General features: G+C 37.7%; 1 protein-coding gene across 4 annotated transcripts in view, besides 1 other annotated feature; it reads right to left on the reverse strand.

The window, feature by feature from the left end:
• ELOVL6 (ELOVL fatty acid elongase 6) overlaps window positions 1-20746 on the reverse strand; it is a 153357-nt gene that overhangs the window by 33485 nt on the left and 99126 nt on the right. The gene's annotated exons all lie outside the window — the stretch shown is intronic.
• Window positions 8700-8869: an enhancer, noted in NCBI's record as "experimental_71960 CRE fragment used in MPRA reporter constructs". NCBI's record gives its function as "activates a minimal promoter by MPRAs in K562 erythroleukemia cells, with activity observed for both the introgressed and non-introgressed 4:111009271 variant alleles {active_cell/tissue: K562}" and the evidence as "EXISTENCE:reporter gene assay evidence [ECO:0000049][PMID:34662402]".

Genomic DNA, 20746 nt, shown 5'->3' on the forward strand with positions numbered 1-20746 from the left:
TAGTTGGAAGTAAAGCTCTCCTCAGCAAATGGAAAAGAACAGAAATTATAACAAACTGTCTCTCAGACCACGGTGCAATCAAACTAGAACTCAGGATTAAGAAACTCACTCAAAACCGCTCAACTACATGAAAACTGAACAACCTGCTCCTGAATGACTACTGGGTACATAACGAAATGAAAGCAGAAATAAAGATGTTCTTTGAAACCAACGAGAACAAAGACAGAACATACCAGAATCTCTGGGACATATTCAAAGCAGTGTGTAGAGGGAAATTTACAGCACTAAATGCCCACAAGAGAAAGCAGAAAAGATCTAATTGACACCCTAACATCACAATTAAAAGAACTAGAGAAGCAAGAGCAAACACAGTCAAAAACTAGCAGAAGGCAAGAAATAACTAAGATCAGAGCAGAACTGAAGGAAACAGAGACACAAAAAACCCTTCAAAAAAAATCAATGAATCCAGGAGCTGGTTTTTTGAAAAGATCAACAAAATTGACCGACCACTAGCAAGACTAATAAAGAAGAAAAGAGAGAAGAATCAAATAGATGCAATAAAAAATGATAAAGGGGATATCACCACCGATCCCACAGAAATACAAACTACCATCAGAGAATGCTATAAACACCTCCACACAAATAAACTAGAAAATCTAGAAGAAATGGATAAATTCCTCGACACATACACCCTCCCAAGACTAAACCAGGAGGAAGTTGAATCTCTGAATAGACCAAAAATAGGCTCTGAAATTGAGGCAATAATTAATAGCTTACCAACCAAAAAAAGTCCAGGACCAGATGGATTCACAGCCGAATTCTACCAGAGGTACAAGGAGGAGCTGGTACCATTGCTTCTGAAACTATTACAATCAATAGAAAGAGAGGGAATCCTTCCTAACTCATTTTATGAGGCCAGCATCATCCTGATACCAAAGCCTGGCAGAAACAAAACAAAAAAAGAGAATTTTAGACCAATATCCCTGATGAACATTGATGCAAAAATCCTCAATAAAATACTGGCAAACCAAATCCAGCAGCGCATCAAAAAGCTTAAACACCATGATCAAGTGGGCTTCATCCCTGGGATGCAAGGCTGGTTCAGCATACGCAAATCAGTAAACGTAATCCAGGCTATAAACAAAACCAATGACAAAAACCACATGATTATCTCAATAGATGCAGAAAAGGCCTTTGACAAAATTCAACAGCGCTTCATGCTAAAAACTCTCAATAGATTAGGTATTGATGGGATGTATCTCAGAATAATAACAGCTATCCGTGACAAACCCACAGCCAATATCATACTGAATGGGCAAAAACTGTAAGCATTCCCTTTGAAAACTGGCACAAGACAGGGATGCCCTCTCTCACCACTCCTATTCAACATAGTGTTGGAAGTTCTGGCCAGGGTAATCAGGCAGGAGAAGGAAATAAAGGGTATTCAATTAGGAAAAGAGGAAGTCAAATTGTCCCTGTTTGCAGATGACATGATTGTATATCTAGAAAACCCCATCATCTCAGCCCAAAATCTCCTTAAGCTGATAGGCAACTTCAGCAAAGTCTCAGGATACAAAATCAATGTGCAAAAATCACAGGCATTCTTATACACCAACAACAGACTAACAGAGAGCCAAATCATGAGTGAACTCCCATTCACAATTGCTTCAAAGAGGATAAAATACCTAGGAATCCAACTTACAAGGGATGTGAAGGACCTCTTCAAGGAGAACTACAAACCACTGCTCAATGAAATAAAAGAGGATACAGACAAATGGAAGAACATTCCATGCTCATGGGTAGGAAGAATCAATATCGTGAAAATGGCCATACTGCCCAAGGTAATTTATAAATTCAATGCCATCCCCATCAAGCTACCAATGATTTTCTTCACAGAATTGGAAAAAACCACTTTAAAGTTCATATGGAACCAAAAAAGAGCCTGCATTGCCAAGTCAATCCTAAGCCAAAAGAACAAAGCTGGAGGCATCACACTACCTAACTTCAAACTATACTACAAGGCTACAGAAACCAAAACAGCATGGTACTGGTACCAAAACAGAGATATAGACCAATGGAACAGAATGGAGCCCTCAGAAATAATGCCACATATCTACAACCATCTGATATTTGACAAACCTGACAAAAACAAGAAATGGGGAAAGGATTCCCTATTTAATAAATGGTGCTGGGAAAACTGGCTAGTCATATGTATAAAGCTGAAACTGGATCCCTTCCTTACACCTTATACAAAAATTAATTCAAGATGGATTAAAGACTTAAATGTTAGACCTAAAACCATAAAAACCATAGAAGAAAACCTAGGCAATACCATTCAGGACATAGGCATGGGCAAGGACTTCATGTCTGAAACACTAAAAGCAAGGGCAACAAAAGCCAAAATTGACAAATGGGATCTAATTAAACTAAAGAGCTTCTGCACAGCAAAAGAAACTACCATCAGAGTGAACAGGCAACCTACAAAATGGGAGAAAATTTTTGCAATCTACTCATCTGACAAAGGGTTAATACCCAGAATCTACAAAGAACTCAAACAAATTTACAAGAAAAAAACAAACAGCCCCATCAAAAAGTGGGTGAAGGATATGAACAGACACTTCTGAAAAGAAGACATTTATGCAGCCAAAAGACACATGAAAAAATGCTCATCATCACTGGCCATCAGAGAAATGCAAATCAAAACCACAATGAGATACCGTCTCACACCAGTTAGAATGGCAATCATTAAAAAGTCAGGAAGCAACAGGTGCTGGAGAGGATGTGGAGAAATAGGAACACTTTTACACTGTTGGTGGGACTGTAAACTAGTTCAACCATCGTGGAAGTCAGTGTGGCGATTCCTCAGGGATCTAGAACTAGAAATACCATTTGACCCAGCTATCCCATTACTGGGTATATACCCAAAGGATTATAAATCATGCTACTATACAGACACATGCACACATATGTTTATTGCGGCACTATTCACAATAGCAAAGACTTGGAACCAACCCAAATGTCCAACAATGATAGACTGGATTAAGAAAATGTGGCACATATACACCATGGAATACTATGCAGCCATAAAAAATGATGAGTTCATGTCCTTTGTAGGGACATGGATGAAGCTGGAAACCATCATTCTCAGCAAACTATCGCAAGGACAAAAAACCAAACACCACATGTTCTCACTCATAGGTGGGAATTGAACAATGAGAACACATGGACACAGGAAGGGGAACATCACACACCAGGGCCTGTTGTGGGGTGGGGGTAGGGAGGAGGGGTAGCATTAGGAGATATACCTAATGTTAAATGATGAGTTAATGGGTGCAGCACACCAACATGGCACATGTATACATATGTAACAAACCTGCACATTGTGCACATGTACCCTAAAACTCAAAGTATAATAAAAAAATAAATAAAAAATCACCTAGCAACATACTTCTCAGGGTGCTTTTCTCACAGCGCATCCCTGTCAAGGGACGCATGACTGTGTATGATAGGCCATGTGTGTTTTCATTAGAGAATATGGACTCAACAATTATCCACAAACGCTTTTAACAGCTCCATAGAAATCTCAAATTAAGACATTATTACTTGTAAGTATCAGAACTAGTGAATGTTAACTGAAGATGGAGACAAGAATCTAGTGCCCAACATGAGCAAAACAAGAGAACACAGGTATCCTTTTAGGGAATTCTGATTTAATTAGGTTGTTTCTCTCTGGGTTTATTCACTTAAAAAAAAAGCAAACTTTTTCTATGCCGACTACATACTAGGTTCTTCATATCAAGTGATTAAGAAAAAGACAAATCAATTTTCACAAAACCCATATTCTAGTGAGGGAGACTGATGAATACATTAAAAATAGCTTACTAATTTCAGGTAGTAAGTGCCACAGGATAACAAAACCAGGTAAAGTGATAATGGACTAGGGATGAGGGCAAGAAGGTCGTCTTCTGACATGAAAGAAGTCCTCTCAGAAGCGGGGACATGTGATCTGATAACTGATCAATGAAAAGGGGCCAGGCTGGCCAAGACCTAGAGAAGAACATACCAGGTAGAGGGATAAATCACTAAGCACTAATCAGCTGGGCACGCTTGGTACGAGCCCAGAGGCTGGCGGTGATGGGGACTAAAGAGAGACATGGTTTAACAGGTGGGCATGGACTACAGCTTATAGGGCCTTTGAGGATCCTGACACAGAGATAGTAATAATTATACAATTCATTTTATTCTAACTGCACTGTACAAGCATTGGTAGGTTTTAAGCAGGTAATGACATGATTTGTATTTTTAATAATACAGGCTGCTGTGTGGTGAAAGGACTGTAGTAATTACTACATTAATATAAATGTTAAAATATTCATATTATTATAAAAGTAGTCAGGCACTTAAAAATATATTGTGTCCCGCATTTCCAAAGATGATGATGGTGGTGGTTAGTATGTGGTAACAATGGGCATAAGAGAAGCAGACAAACATAGGATCTATTTTGGCAGTATAGCTGCTTAGACTCCCTGAGATGCTGTGATGGATGCTGTGATATATATAGATAATATATATATACACATAGAGAGAGAGATAATATATATAGAGATATATATAACATGTTATATATGATATATATGATATAACATATGCCATATACGATATATAACATATGCCATATATGGTATATAACATATGCCATATATGGTATATAACACATGCTATATATGATATATAACATATATATGCTATATATGATATATAACATATATATGATATATATGATATATATAACATATATGTGATAATGATATATATGATATATATAACATATATGTGATATATATGATATATATAACATATAACTTATATGATATATATAACATATAACTTATATGATATATATAACATATATGATATATATAACATATAGCTTATATGTGATATATAACATATATAACTTATATATGATATATAACATATAACATATATAAATTTGATATATATCACATATATGATATATGATATATACCGCATATATGATATATGATATATATCGCATATATGATATATGATATATGACATACATGATATATCACATATATCATATATGATATATCGCATATATCATATATGATATATAACAATATACACTATAATGTATACACATATATATCATATATGTGTATACATTATATACACTTACACACACACACACACACACACACACACACAGATATATATATATATATATATATATATTTTTTTTTTTTTTTTTTTTTTTTGAGATGGAGTCTTGCTCTGTCGCCCAGACTGGAGTACAGTGGCGTGATCTCGGCTCACTGCAACCTCCACCTCCCGAGTTCAAGCAATTTTCCTGCCTCAGCCTCCTGAGTAGCTGGGGCTACAGGTGCGTGCCACCACACCTGGCTAATTTTTGTGTGTTTAGTAGAGATGGGGTTTCACCATGTTGGTCACGCTGGTCTCGAACTCTTGACCTCATGTTCTGCCCATCTTGGCTTCCCAAAGTGCTGGGATTACAGGTGTGAGCCACCGTGCCCGGCGTATGCTGTGATATATTAATAGCAAGGAAGAAAAGAAGACTAAGGCTATTGGCCTGAGCAACAGGGTGGATAATGACACTAGACAATGAGAAGGAAAGAAATTGATTTAATTATTCACTTATTTGTGTATTGATTAAGTTGTGGTAGAGTGTTGGCAGGGCTGGCTAAGAACATTTTTATAAAACTCCTTTCAGACCATGTTGAGTTTAAGATGGGACATCAAAGAAAGAAAATGCAAACTGATATGAAAGCAAGAGGTTAGGCAATGTATGTGCATGCGTTGGAGGGATGTGGGGAGGGGAAATCATAACCACTGGAATATTCTTCTCCTAGGAAGTCACAGGAGAGGGATGAGAGGCTGCTTCTGGGCTGCTTTGCCTCTCATGGCTCTGCATGGATGGCATGAGGCCAAACAGGAAGCCAACTGAGATAACAACTTCCTCAAGTGAGAGGTTACCAGAACACTGCTATCTCAGGTGCAAGCATCCAGTTAATAGTCCACAGTGCTGGAAAAAATAGCTGGTGAAAGGTCAGAGGCACAATTAAGAAATGCATGAGTAAAGAGTAAGTGTGCCATAGTTGACCAGAATCACAGTGTGATACCTGTCTGGAGAAACACAGCATGTATTGAACTTCTCATCTACTGAACACGTCCCAAAAGCCTTTAGTTGTTCAATGGGGACAGTTACTGTAAGAGTCCCTGGACTCTGGTGAGGGGGCATTGGGTGGTATCTAAAGGGGCATATAAGCCTCCTAATACTATATTGAAACTTTAATTACAGTAAAACATGGAGATTGTTAAAAATGCAGATTTCCAAACTTCACCACCAGAGGCTCTACTTTTTTTGGAAACAGGACCTCACTTTGTCTGGAGTGCAGTGGTGTGATCTTGGCTCACTGCAGCCTCAACCTTCCAGTTTCAAGTGAATTCTCCCACCTCAGCCTCCTGAGTAGCTGGGACTACAGGCATGCTCCACCATGCCCAGCTAAATATTTTGTACTTTTTGTAGAGATGGGGTTTCGCCATGTTGCGATCCACCCACCTTGGCCTCCCAAAGTAATCCCAAGAGTGCTGAGATTACTGGCTCTAATTTTATAGCTTTGGGGAAGAAACCAGAAATGGAGATTTTTAACAAACATTCCAGATGTCTTGATGCAAATGACCCACAGGTCACAGTTTGAGAAACTCTACAGCAAAGTGTTTCCCTCCCTCAGATGCTCATAAAATCATATTCCTATCTAATCGAAGCCACTAATGAAGTCTTTCTGGATTTAGTCCTCTTTAACTTTTTGACCTGTCTCAGTTATGTAAGCAGCATGGCATTTTAAGTCAGACCAATTAATCCTGATTCTGGAACCAGGTATGTGCCCATAGGTAAATTTCTTAATCACCCAAGCATCACTTCTTTCATCCCAAAATAGGGATGTGGTTGCATTTTATGTGCATCTGAATCATGACATTTGGAAATACCACTATATACAATATTAAGGAGGATGTACTTTATATGTTAAATTTGAAGGCATGTGAATCTCTTACATCTAAATTATACTCAGAAATCACAGTTTCAAAGCTAGTGTTCCAACTTGTTTCGTACATTTATAATATTGCCACATGAGAGTAGTGTGTTAGTAGGAAATAGAAATATTTTTGGTCATTAGCTTCTAAACCACTCTCCCTCAGAAGTTCCTAAGTGTGATTTTGATGACTCCTGTGCTGTTATTTTAATGACCACTATTGGTTAATTATGACCATGCTTCCCAGGGGTTCATTAAGTGGTAGTGTTAGTGGTAAAAATGAAAAAATTGTTAGAGCCAAGAACTTTTGAGAGAAGAAACAAAAGTTAGACACGACAAAAAGTTAGTATGTATCCATTCATTGTGTTTAAAATTGTTTTAAAACACAACATTAGATATAGATTTATAGGTTCTGAAAATACCTCCCTATGCGACATTTATTCCTATGGGAAAACTGATCCGGAATTAGGAAAGTTCTGAGTTATTTGATTATTTTGAAATATTCAAGGATCTTATCCTTGAATGTGACCGTCCTATAATAGTATTTCCTTTGCAGGTCTGTTGTGAGGATGAGTAAAGCACCTGATATAGGCTGTCTAAATGGGTTGTTAGGTTTGGAAATTTAGGGAAACACCTGTCACTGTTTCTCTATTCTCAAGAGGGGGAGCCTGTTTATTTTAAACCAGGGTGTTCTTACAAATTTGGGAGATATGAAGTTTTTAGAACAATATAAATTTCCTATTCAATATTGAGAGGTTCTTCCTGTCTCTCTTTTTCACAGCCTCCTCAGACACCGCCCCCACAAGGATTTGATGAATTACCTAAAAGTCACCAAGGGAGCCTGATTGAAACCCTCAACTCTGTATTATTAGGCCGTCTAGAAGTAGATGAGTCTAATTTTCTTTCTCATTTTCTGTAATTTTGATCAGACGCTTCTCTACTTTGCATTCGATTAGTCAAAGCTAACAAGTCACTTCTGAGGAAATTACTGCTTTAGAAATACTTTTTATAAAATTCAATCACTATTCTTGTACCCTGACTCACATTTTTTTCCTACTACAAGACTAGAGTCATCTGAATTGCCTGAAAACTTGGCAGCTCTAAAGGGTAATTATTCTCACTTTTGGACTTGATCCAATACAGGAAACAATAAAAGACTTCCAGAAGGTTTCCAAGCCCAGCTGTCTCTGACACCACTCCTCATTCTGCAAAAATACTGGAATGAGTTTTTTAGTTTGCACCTGTCATTAATGTCACAGTAGAGACACTGGCCCTTACCTTGTTCATACAATTACTTAAACCACATCTACATTTTTAGATCAAGAAACATTTAAAACTTCTGGTGGAATGAAGGAGTAATTTTTTTTAAATAGCTCCTGTTACCTAAAATAAAATTGTAAAAAAAAAAAAAACCTCCTATTTTCTAGTTGGTTTTCAGCACAAAATACTTCCAATCAAAGAGATTTCTGGTAGCTTTGTCTAGTCAAAAGATGGTTCATTTTGTCCTTAACAATTAGAGTCAATTTGGCTCTGTCTTTTCTTTTTTCAGATTCCGGCCTTCGTGAAGGTTACAAATACGTGGTTTTACTACATTTTTGAAGAGTGTTTTAAATTGCAAATGTATTTAGAATTTATAGAACATCAAAGGATTTTTCCTGTAAAAGAAACAAGAAATAATGGATAGCAAAGCCAAGGTGACCTTGACCCTCAGTTTGGAAACTTCCAGGCCCTTCAGTCATTCCCAAAGGTTTTGGTGAACTGTGCACACACAGAGTGTGTTCTCACCAAAGCCAAGCACAGAGCGCTAATTAGAGTATTGTAGCTTATACATTTTCCGGGAGTGAAAATGAGAATAAACACTAATTCTATCAAAGGGCTGGGTGCAGATAACCCCAAGTGAAAACATGAGGAATTCCTTGGGCATACAGTACACTCCTCTTACCCAACGGGGACACATTCCAAGACCCCTGGAGGATGCCTGAAACCCACCAATTGGGACACATTTCTGTTCATGTCTTCCACCCACAGATTTAATGGCTTTTCCATTTTAATAAGCACTGTGGCCGTAAGTCTTGCAGCTGGAGGTGCAACAGCAAAACTAGCATGGATTTCTGTTTCCTTCTCGAAAATTTCATGTATAGAAGATTTGTTTTCACCATAGATCTTGGCAACCTTAACATATAGTATTTTTTTCCTTACTAAGTTGAAACCTTTCACCTTTTCTCTTAAAGCACTTTCTGGCTTCTCTTTGGCATATCCAAGTAGCCAGCATCACTATTGCACTTGCAGGTCATATTAAGTAAAATAAGAGTCACTTGAACACAAGCACTGTGACACAAAGACAGTCTGATCACCAACAGGGCTACTAAGTGACTCACAGGTGTGAATCTGCTTGATAAAGGAAGGATTCATGTCCTGAGAGGGACGGAGTGGTGTGATGCAGTATTTCATCATGCTAGTCAGAATGGTGCACAACTTAAAACTGTATAAATTGTTTGTTTCTGGAATTTTCCATTACAGTTACCACCGGTAACTGAAACCACAGAAAGTAAAATCGTGGGTAAGGGAAACTACTGCACTCGTGTTTCATTGTAGGGACTAGAAGTGAGCTAGATCTTTTGCAACAAATTTCTTGGTCCTCCAAAAATCAGATCTACCCATGTCTTTTTAACTTTGTGTTATTTACTTTCTTTCTCTTTCCAGCAAATGTTACTCCGACAGCTATTTCAAGTGATGAGCATACATTTATTTTAGGATAAAATGCTTAAATAGGCAAAATTAATAATGAAATAGAAGCTCTGTCTTCTCTTCATGAACAAGTGTGGAGACGGTAGTGTATAAAAACGTGCATTCAGCTTAATATAACTACAGTTGGCCTTCAAACAACATAGGTTTGAACCACTCGGGCCCACTTGTACTCAAATTTTGTTCAACCAAACATGGTATTCCTAGGATGTGAAACCCACCAATACAAAGGGCTGACTTTTCATATATGTAGGTTCCTCAGGGCTGACTGCAGGCTTGAGTCTGTGCAAATTTTAGTATCCTGGGTGGTTCTAGACCCAATCCCCTATGTATACTGAGGGATGACTGTACATACAGACAGCTTATAAGCCTGGAATTGATTTCCATGGGCAGTTTCAGAAAATGTGGAACAATGTCAAACTTCTGGATTTCCTGATAATTGAAATTCACTCCTAAGAGATAGCATGCTATTTTTGAGATGCAGGCAGAAGATCAGGACACTAGTTGGCTAACATTGTCTATGAAATATATGAGATCCTTGCCCAATGAGAGCTTATGGGTAGATGGGCCAACTTTTCTTCTTGTCAAAGCAGCTCATTGTTGCCTCAAGATAGCAAGTCACCTATTTAAGAGAGGCAGTGCTCCAACGGAAAGACCTCAGGGCTGCATAATCACAGCCACAATGGTGATGATGGAGGTGGGGAAGGAAAAGAAAGAGGAGGAAGGAGAGGATGAGCAGAATAGTTACTTAGGTATCCAGAGGGCACATACCTCTTCAGCAGATAACTGTGTTGGAGCAATTTTCTTTGTATTACACAGCAGGCTTTAGGGTTTATTCCTGGGATTCTATTCTGAGGTTTCTTAAACCTCTCTGAGCCTAGGTTTTCTCATTTGTAAAATGAAAATAAAGTACATACCTCAAGGCAGTCTTGAAAGTTAGATAAGACAATATATTAAGAGCTTAATACAGTGCCAGGCACCAATGAATGATGTCTATTGTTAGTGTTAGCATTATACCGAAACATAAAATTCTCTCAAATCTTTTTCTCACTAATTCCTCATAAAACAGCTAAATCTTGTGTTGAGGTGGGTGTTTAGACTGTGTATGGAGAAGGGTGACTTTTTTTCTGTGGGTTCCTTTTGAGCAGCAAGATTGATAACTAATCATTTACCATTTATCTACATGTAAACCTTCTATACATTAACACAGAAATAAAAGTAGGCACCCTCTATTCATATTTTTGTCAACCATAACCCTTAAAAGATGCAATTTATGCCATCCTCAATAGCATTGTATATGTAAAGAAATCCAGTCATTGACTGACTTGAGATGTGACTCACACTTGGTGCTGGACCTGGGCATGCAGGAACACAAGAGTGACAGGGCTCCTCCTCATTAGGGCCACAAGAGGTAGGCCTTCCAGGAACTTACAGGAAAGTTTGACTTTCTTTTTTTTTTTTTTTTTTTTCATGAGACGGAGTCTCGCTCTGTCGCCAGGCTGGAGTGCAGTGGCATGATCTCAGCTCACTGAAACCTCCGCCACCTGGGTTCAAGCAATTCCCCTGCCTCAGCCTCCCAAGTAGCTGGGATTACAGGTGTGCACCACCATGCCCGGCTAATTTTTGTATCTTTAGCAGAGATGGGGTTTCGCCATGTTGGCCAGGATGGTCTCAATCTCCTGACTTTGCGATCCACCCGCCTCGGCCTCCCAAAGTGCTAGGATTACAGGCGTGAGCCACCACTCCTGGCCGAGAGTTTGACTTTCATACTTTAGAAATTCAGATTCAATTTTATTTGTAATTTTACCTTATGTGTGAATGCATAGGAAGAAATACAGAAGGTATTATAAAGGTATGGCAGAAAGAGGATCAATACAATATTCACAGGTTCGGCAAATGGAGAGAAACAGACATAGCCAACTTAATAAATACATGAGGCAGAAGATGTTTGTTTGCTTTTACTTTTAATGACTTCAAACTTTAACCTAGTTCTACTCTATCAATTTAAGGATCCATGTCCTTAAGGAGAACAGAAAATTACACACCTATTCTAGAGGTGTCAATTAGATTAGAACACACCCCAGAGTGATTCCTTCACTCCAAGGTTGATGGAAGATGGGTTTGGTCTCAGTAAACATGTATAAGGTGGCAAAAATCAGTTTGAGGAGTTAAACTGAAATCTCTAGAGGTAGGCTGTCTGTTCACAACTGGAAAAGTACTAGAGTTTTAACTATATTCCTTTTAAAGGCAGAAATTAGATTTTCTTCTCCACTATCCTCTCCTGAGCTCTGTGCCCTTGTCCTGGAAAGTTAGTTTCTTTTTCCTGCTTTGCTTTTTACCTACCTATCTATCTGCATTAAGCTAGCATAAACTCCAACTTAAAGCTGAACGCCTTCAGAGAAACCACATCCCTGCCCCCTGCATAAGAGAATGCTGAATAACTAATGATTCATAATTTCTTCAATTCATAAGCAATTCTATTAAACTGCATTGAAAATTTCTGCTCCAGTTCCGGGTTAACACAAATACCAGCTACATTAATCACCCCGCATATCCATTGCTAAGTCAATGGTGCTCATCCACATCTCAGAACAAAAAATACAAAAAGCCACCCCTCTGTCTACTATTGTACCATTAGTAGTCAAATGAAAGGAGCAAAAGAAAATCGTTGCTTTATAAAGTTGTTAGGAAATTGCAATGTGCAAGGAATGAAGTATTATGCCCCGGATCAATCAATCATTTTAATTACATAGATTTGATTCTAAATCCCAGGGCTCTGGAAACTGTAAGAATGATCTAGGATAACAATGAATACAGTGAGGATTGCTTGCACAGCCTCCAGCCAGCATAACAATTTAGTTATAAGTGATAACAAGAAGGGATCAAACAGTCAGCACCAATTCTCACTTAACAAATTTTTGAAACACATGCTAGGAAACGAGTTTCAAGGAGTGCTAGCAACCAGTGAAATTAGTCCATTTACTAGTAGCTCTGGCTAACAAGAGTTGCCGGTTTCAAGGAAGAAACAAGAGCTCCCTATGTCATATGCAAAATCAAGTCAGATCTGGGACATCTGTCAATACCCTAGTATCATCAAAAACAGATGACAGTTACTATTTAGAGCTTTGATTAAAACATGGAGAATAAAAATTGACAGCTTTCAGGAAAGAACTGTCAATGCTTTCAAGGCCGAGGTCATAAGAGGCCTGTAAGAAGTTTCATATGGGAAAAGCATTTATATGTAGGAAAATGATTTTCATTGCTCTAACAACAGCATATAACCATACGGCGGGTGACCAATTTCTCTTTAATGAACACTAATACCACTCTTCTCTACCATCCTCCACTCATATCCACACTTTAAGGACATGTGGACTATCAGGGGAAGGAATACTCATCTCGCAATGTTTCAGTTAATTCTCTGCTCACTAATGAGAACGACCAGAGAAGAAAAGTCTAGTATTTTTCCATGTTATTCTCTTTAATGTTTCCTTCAGCTAATCTATAAGTGTGGCTACAGTATTTTATTTATGGACGTCAGCATCATTTGAAGCATTCCAGATTATGCAATTAGGCAATTTCATTAAAAGTTCATTCCTTAAGTCTGAAGAATTTTTTAAGGATTCAATTTTTAGTTCGAAATCTTGTAGTACACACACACACACACACGTGCACACATCCCAAACCCTGCCAAACAAGGATCTGTGGAGGATTTATGAGATAACATGAAGTTTATACAAACTGTAATCCCTAACTATGTCTTAATTCAAAACAATCCTTAACAAATGCCTGCAGGTGTTATTATACTTACATCTAAGTATATTACATCCTAAACTAACACGCAATCTCTTCTAGAATGCTCATTTTATATTTCAACCAAGTTTCAAAAGAGCTATGGTATTCCAGCTATTTAAATACTATCCCATTTTGGTAAAACGATTTAAAGAATCTTACATGTCAGCTGTTTCAAGTTGTTATAGCACCTGTAATGCAAAGATATTACAGAAGTCATATTTTTGTCCACACTCAAATGTATTAACTGCATTACAGAGAATTAAAATTATGATAAAAGAATCTCAAGTTTAACATTAAATTATGAGGCACCAAAATATTAACAGTAAATATCTGTGAGAACTGGGATAAAAAGTCTATGTATGTGATTTTGTGGTTTTCAGTTTTGATGCAGAGAATCCTATCTTTTATAAATAGAAAGGAAAATTACTTAATCAAAAAGTGACCACTGGACAGATTTTCTAATTGTACATAAGCAATTCAAGTCATATAAGGTTATCAAGTCAACCATAGTTCCTGTGAGAATGAGAAGCCACCCTTTGCCTATACATAAACTTGCAGTTCTTTGTCATATTTGCATATATCACTCACTGTTATTTTCTTGGAAATAGGTGAAATTCCAGGTAGTTCTTGAATTCAAGAGAAAAGCTGGAAAATTTTCCTATTTCCACCTTTGAAAATAAATGTAGACAGTTGCTAGTAAGTCTCTTCATTTCCCTTATTACTTTTTTAAAGAGCACCTACTTAGGCACTAGAAACACAGCAGGAAATCAGACAGACAAAAATCACTGCCCTCATGGAACATAGAGTGCAGTGGGACGAGACAGATAATGAACCACAGAAGTAATACATACAGTGGGCTGGAATATGACAGGCGTTAAAGGGAAAAATAAGAAAAGGCAATTACAAGCATGGATGGGAATATTGTGATTTTGGATAATGGAGGCTAGGGAAGGTCTCATCAAGGCCAAATGTGAGCAAAATTCTAAAGGAGGTGAGGAACAAGCCATTAGAATATCTGGGTGGGGCTGGTATGGTGGCTCACGTCTGTAATCCCAGCATTTTGGGAAGCCAAGGCAGGCAGATTACTGAGGTCAGGAGTTTGAGACCAGCCTGGCCGACATGGCAAAAGCCCGTCTCTACCAAAAACACAAAATTAGCCAGGTGCGGTGGCATGCGTCTGTAGTTCCAGCTACTTGGGAGGCTGAGGCAGGAGAATTGCTTGAACCCAGGAGGTGGAGGCTGCAGCGAGCCAAGATTGTGCCACTGCACTCCAGCCTGGGCAATAGAGCTAAACTCCATCTCAAAAAAAAAAAAAAATCTGGATGGGCCAGATGCAGTGGCTCACACCTGTAATCCCAGCACTTTGGGAGACTGAGGCAGGAGGATCCTTGAGCCCAGTAGTTTCAGACCAGCCTGGACAACACAGTGAGACTCTGTTTCTATTTTACTTAAAAAGAAATATATATATATATATATATATATATATATATATATATAATATATATAACATAATATATATTACATATAAAATATATGTAATTATAATATATAATTATATATACATATATATAATTAAAAAAGAATACCTGGGTGAGGAGTGTTCTGGGCAAGGGAAGAGCAAATACAAGGGCCCTGAGGCAGAGGCCTTGTGACCATGTTTGAGGAACAGCAAGGAGGCAAGAGTGGCTGAGGAGAGGGAAGAGAAGAGGTCAAAAACTAAGGGCCAGGCTGTGTAGGGCTTTGTAGGCCATTGCAGGCTCCTGACACTACATAACATCAGTCTTTGATTTCTTGATGCATGTATGCATGTTCACAGGTAAAGACTGACGGAATGCAATGAAGACTGGACTAGGGCATGTCTAGGGCAGTTGATGCAAGAAATACAGAGTGAAAAAGTGAAGTGACTGGAAATGATAATCACATATGACTGCAAAACTGGCAGGTGTGAGATTTGTATTCATTAATTCAACAACTATGTATGCACTTGGTGTTCCAAGGACAGCAAGACACAATTCTTGCCCCAAGAAATTCATAGTCTACCAAGAAGTACATCAGTTAAGGCAATATATAGTCTGGTTAAATGAACTACCAGCAAGTTCAGTGGAGCTGAGATATGGGCTGAAATGATCAGATAAGCCATTATAGAGAAGGAATTTTAAGTTAAGTCTAAGCAATAACTAAGATTTACAGAAAAACAAATAGAGGAAGAATGGAGAAAGAGTAAGTGCAGCGTGTTCAAAGACATGAAATTAGGCCTGGCTGTGGTGGCTCACACCTGTAATCCCAGCACTTTGGGAGATTGAGGTGGGCAGATCACCTGAGGTCAGCAGTTCGAGACCAGCCTGGCCAACATGGCAAAACCCCATCTCCACTAAAAATACAAAAATTAGCTGGGCGTGGTGGCACACGCCTGTAATCCCAGCTATTTGGGAGGCTGAGGCATGAGAATCACTTGAACCCAGGAGAAAGAGGTTGCAGTGAGCCTAGATCGCACCACTGCATTCCAGCCTGGGTGAAAGGGCGAAACTGTCTTTAAAAAAAAAAAAAAAAAAGGCATGAAATTAGGAATGGGCAAGGTGTGTCTGTTTTGCAGGAAAAGATTCGATATACCATGTTGGCTTGGATAGAAAAGTTTGCATAGGGCAGTGGTAAAAGGTGAGTCAAGGCAAGATTGTACATTTTTATGGTGAGATTGAGGTTTTAATGTATAAGCAAAAGAGTTTTAATTAAGGTTTAAACAGGGAAACAATATGCTATGTAGAATATCCTTGGGTAGAGGAAACATTTGAAGGACAGCAACTAGTGGTTGCAAAACTGAAGATGTGAACTGACAAAGACCATAATTGGAGGGTCCAGGGTGGAACAGGTGTAGTCAGCTACCTAAGAGATTCTGAGAATTGATACAACTTGGTGACTGGGTAAAGGAGATTTGCATACATAACTTAGAATGACTTAAAGATGTTCATTAGGAAAATTGTGATAAACTTCAATGAATAAAGGAATATCAAAAGGAGAACCAGTTTGGATATTTTAAATCTGAGTGATGATGTGTCAAACGTTTGGAAATATCACAGACAGGCAGAGCAAGTTTTAGTCAAGAGGTCAATCCTAAAAATAAGAATTTGTTAGCAGTTAATTGTCAAATAATCCATGGTGTTCTTCCTTTTTCTTTTTTATTGAGCCAACACAATTTCTCAGTGGGTTATAAATAGAATAACTGTTTTATTTATCATCCAAATTGGGACATTTTTGAGAGTGAAGAAGGAGCTATTAATAATTACACTGAGACAACGTGCATAAAACTAAAGACTGTCCTGAGCAGACCAAGTTGCATGGACCCCAGTTAAAAATTCCATCTTACTTTTAAAAGATAGAAAGTTGTCAATTTCTTATTTTTATTATAGCTCGTGGTTTCTCAAAAGGGGTCAAGAATTCAGTTAGGGTCACTTTATTTTGATTTGAGACTGGAAAGACTGAGCTCTGGCAAAGGATGCAGTTTTAGACATCTAGAAAACAAAGAGAATGTTAATGAAGTAGCTTATGTCATATAACTCCACTATTACCTACTCATGATGCTCCTGGCATGGTTAATGAAGCATGGAGGTTTTATTCAAGGGGGTGGGTGGGGATCTGAGCTAGTCTGGGTTGACATTGGAATTTCTGATGTCAGGTCCCAGTTGAAGCAGTATTTTACTTGAGCTGTCTCTGATGTCAGGGGGATAGAAAAAATTCCTGGTGAGCAGGAAGAAGAGTGTATAAAGGGTAACGGGATTTGTGTGTATATATACCATGTGCAGGTACAGAAAGAATTTTCTTTATCCTGTAGCTGCAATTTGTTAGGTAGTTATGTTACTGCATGTATAGGTCATCAGAATAACAAAATTGATATTAATATAATAAATAGCTGCAATTTGTTAGGCAGTTATGTGAATGTGTGTATAGGTTAACAGACCAACAAAATTGGTATTAATAACAAAACTGAACAGGATAATAACAAAACTGAACAGGATAACTGAACAGGGGTATCCTGCAGCTCTCAGATTGAAAGGGATTCAAATACAACTCAAAATGCTTAACATGGCTGGGCGCAGTGGCTCACCCCTGTAATCTCAGCACTTTGGGAGGCCGAGGTGGATGGATCACCAGGTCAGGAGTTCAAGACCAGCCTGGCCAAGATGGCGAAACCCTGCCTCTACTAAAAATACAAAAATTAGCCAAGCGTGGTGGCGGGTGCCTGTAATCCCAGCTACTCAGGAGGCTGAGGCAGAGAATTGCTTGAATCAGGGAGGTGGAGGTTGCAGTGAGCCAAGATCGTGCCACTGTACTTCAGCCTGGGTGACAGAGCGAGACTCCATCTCCAAAAAAAAAAAAAAAAAGCTTAAGAAATCCTCTACCCCACTACCTTTCAGACTAGACATTGTTATCTCCAGTTGTAAAAATGTTAGCAGGGTGTCCTTCATCAAGGAAAGAAGCCAACTCCGGCAGTGCTAAGTAAATGGAAGGATTATTTTTCCTGTGGCAATGGGCTTTTTTAACTTTACTATTTTATTAAGATTTTTGCCTTGAACATTTGTTGGGCTTTTAAATAATAATACAGTGTGGGTGCTTCACTTTTCTCTTGGTGCAGAGGGAAACAAAATATGTTTTGGTGTCATTTTGTGACCTGACCTTTCAAACAGTCAGTGTGCTGGAGATGTTATCTAGGTGTGTGTTATTCCTAGTCTCAGTTATTTTATGTCTCAATAAATTATTATATTATTATGTTTATTATAAAACATAATTGCTCCAGCAATTTAGTTTTAAGAAAAATCTGATTCTCCAAAGAAAACTGTCTTATACTCTGCCTTCAGAAAAAAAAAAAAAGGATTTCCTATATATCCATTAATTTTACTTTTAGAAGAATAGGAGAAGCTGTAATTTACAAATATGGCATTAGAAGCAAGGCATTGGAGTCAGCAATTTCTATGGTTCTTTGATAAAATGACACCAAAATAGGAGGCTAAGGGAGTTACGAAGTATTGGTATAGAAAATGTGACATTTTACATTTTCGAGTAGGCTAAAGATAAAACAAAAACAGGTTTTGATAAAACAAATAATTAAATGCACAATATCTGACCTGCATCGTATCTGTCTACAAGTTAGAAACATTAACCGTGATAGATTCTTCAAGAGTTGAACACGGACAGAAAAGAAAAGTCCCCCAAATCATCCTTCCAGCAAAATATACACACTTAACTGAGGGATACCGTCAAAAAAAAGGGGGAAACAAAAGCTATTCTTCATTCTAACTATAAACCGATCATTATTGGGTGGGATAGGTAGAGAATGAGGACCAATAAAGTACAACATTTGTGTTTTGATATAAACTTGCTTTACTTATGCACCACCAGTATGACCTGAATCTTATATCATGGCTACAATTGTTGCTCTTTCTTTTAACAAACCAAATGTCATTAATTGCATTCAACTTTGCTTTTTTATAGCCATACTTTTTATCAAAGCTATTTTTCCCTGGTTTGACCATTTTGTAATAACATGTTGTAACATGTTACTACATGTAATGAAATGTTACAAAAGGAATTGAAGCCCCCTTTGGACTCTCTCTGGTCGTATTTCTCTCCTTCCCTTCCCCTAAACAGAGATAATTACTATCCTGAGGTTTTCGTGCATATTTTAATACTTTTACTACATATATATTCATAAATGTAGTATTAACGAGTTTTTAAAATTTTCATAAATGATTTTACACTTCCAGGATTATTTCCCAGCTTGCTTTTTTATTACTCAGCATTATGCTTTCCAATTTTGCTTGTTACTTCTGCCCTTTTGGTGTTACATTTAAAAATCTGACATTTATAATGCGTTTTTCATAAAGTAGGAGCTTTTGTCCTATGACACTTAAAGCTTATGGATCCATTTATTTTATATAAATAGTATCAGTACAATCATTGTCATCATCATTGTTTTTGTGGATTAAGATGGGCAATTTTGGCAACCATAGGAAAAAAACTAAGACACTTATGACGGTCTTATGTACAAACTGATTTCATTGTTCTAAAATTTGTCATTTTCATTGTACCATCATTTTATAGGTCATTCATGTCCTCATTCCTTCCATATAGGTTAAGAACTGTCATGTTTTTTTCACTTGAACAGCTTCAGTTAGTTTTATTATATACTTGTTGGCTTTAGAAATAAGGTAATTGCCAATAATTCTTCAGATATTAAACACTAAATTTGTTTATGATATCAGTGGGAAACAGATCTCAAATGATTTGATTAAATACCATTCATCTACTGCTTGCACTGTTAAGACTTTTCTGAAAGTTTCCTGTGCTATATTTAAGCACTTTGTTCATAAGAATCCCACAAAAGAAAAAAAGAGAATAATTTTCTACTAATCTTGAATATATTTCATACTTAAGCCAGAGAAGAAATTTAATAACAAAATGAAAATATAGCCAGGAAATTACAATGAGGTTCAACAGGAAAAACTGGTGGTTAATAGGCAAGAAGTCAAACTATAAAGTGTAGAACATCTGGATTTGTGCAAATCAAGCAAAAACAATTGAGGCCAGAGTAATCACCAGGAAAAGGAGTAAGCAAAGGTGAAGCAAGTGTGATATTTGCACCTATAAATTTTTAACACCAAATTATCTTTTTATAATGTACACTAACTAGACATCCTGCTTTGATCTGTGTTAGGTCAAGAACCTCAAAGATGGCTTCTTGGAACTCCTTATGCTGCTGATGAAAAGAAAACACTGCCAGACAGGTAACTGGTAGAGGCTCCTTGAATCAGAAGCACACACACCTGGACCCAATCTAGAAGGATGGAAAACTTTTTCAAATCAACTGTAGTAACCCAGCTGACATGTCATAGCAACATGATTGAATGACTCAGGAGTGTCTGTGAAGAACAGGGGATAGGCACCTTGAAGTATCTGATGCTCTGTTGCCATATCAAAGTTGGATAACTTAGCCAAATCTAACTTCTTTGCCACCAGGAGCAATCTCATCTAAAAGTCTTACTGATTCACATAACCAGAATTGTTCTCAGCATTTACCCTAAGGAAATGTTCAAACACCCATGGATAAATGCCACATAAAATTATCTTATCAAATACAG

Source organism: Homo sapiens, chromosome 4 (assembly GCF_000001405.40).
Source record: "Homo sapiens chromosome 4, GRCh38.p14 Primary Assembly".
NCBI lineage: Eukaryota > Metazoa > Chordata > Mammalia > Primates > Hominidae > Homo > Homo sapiens.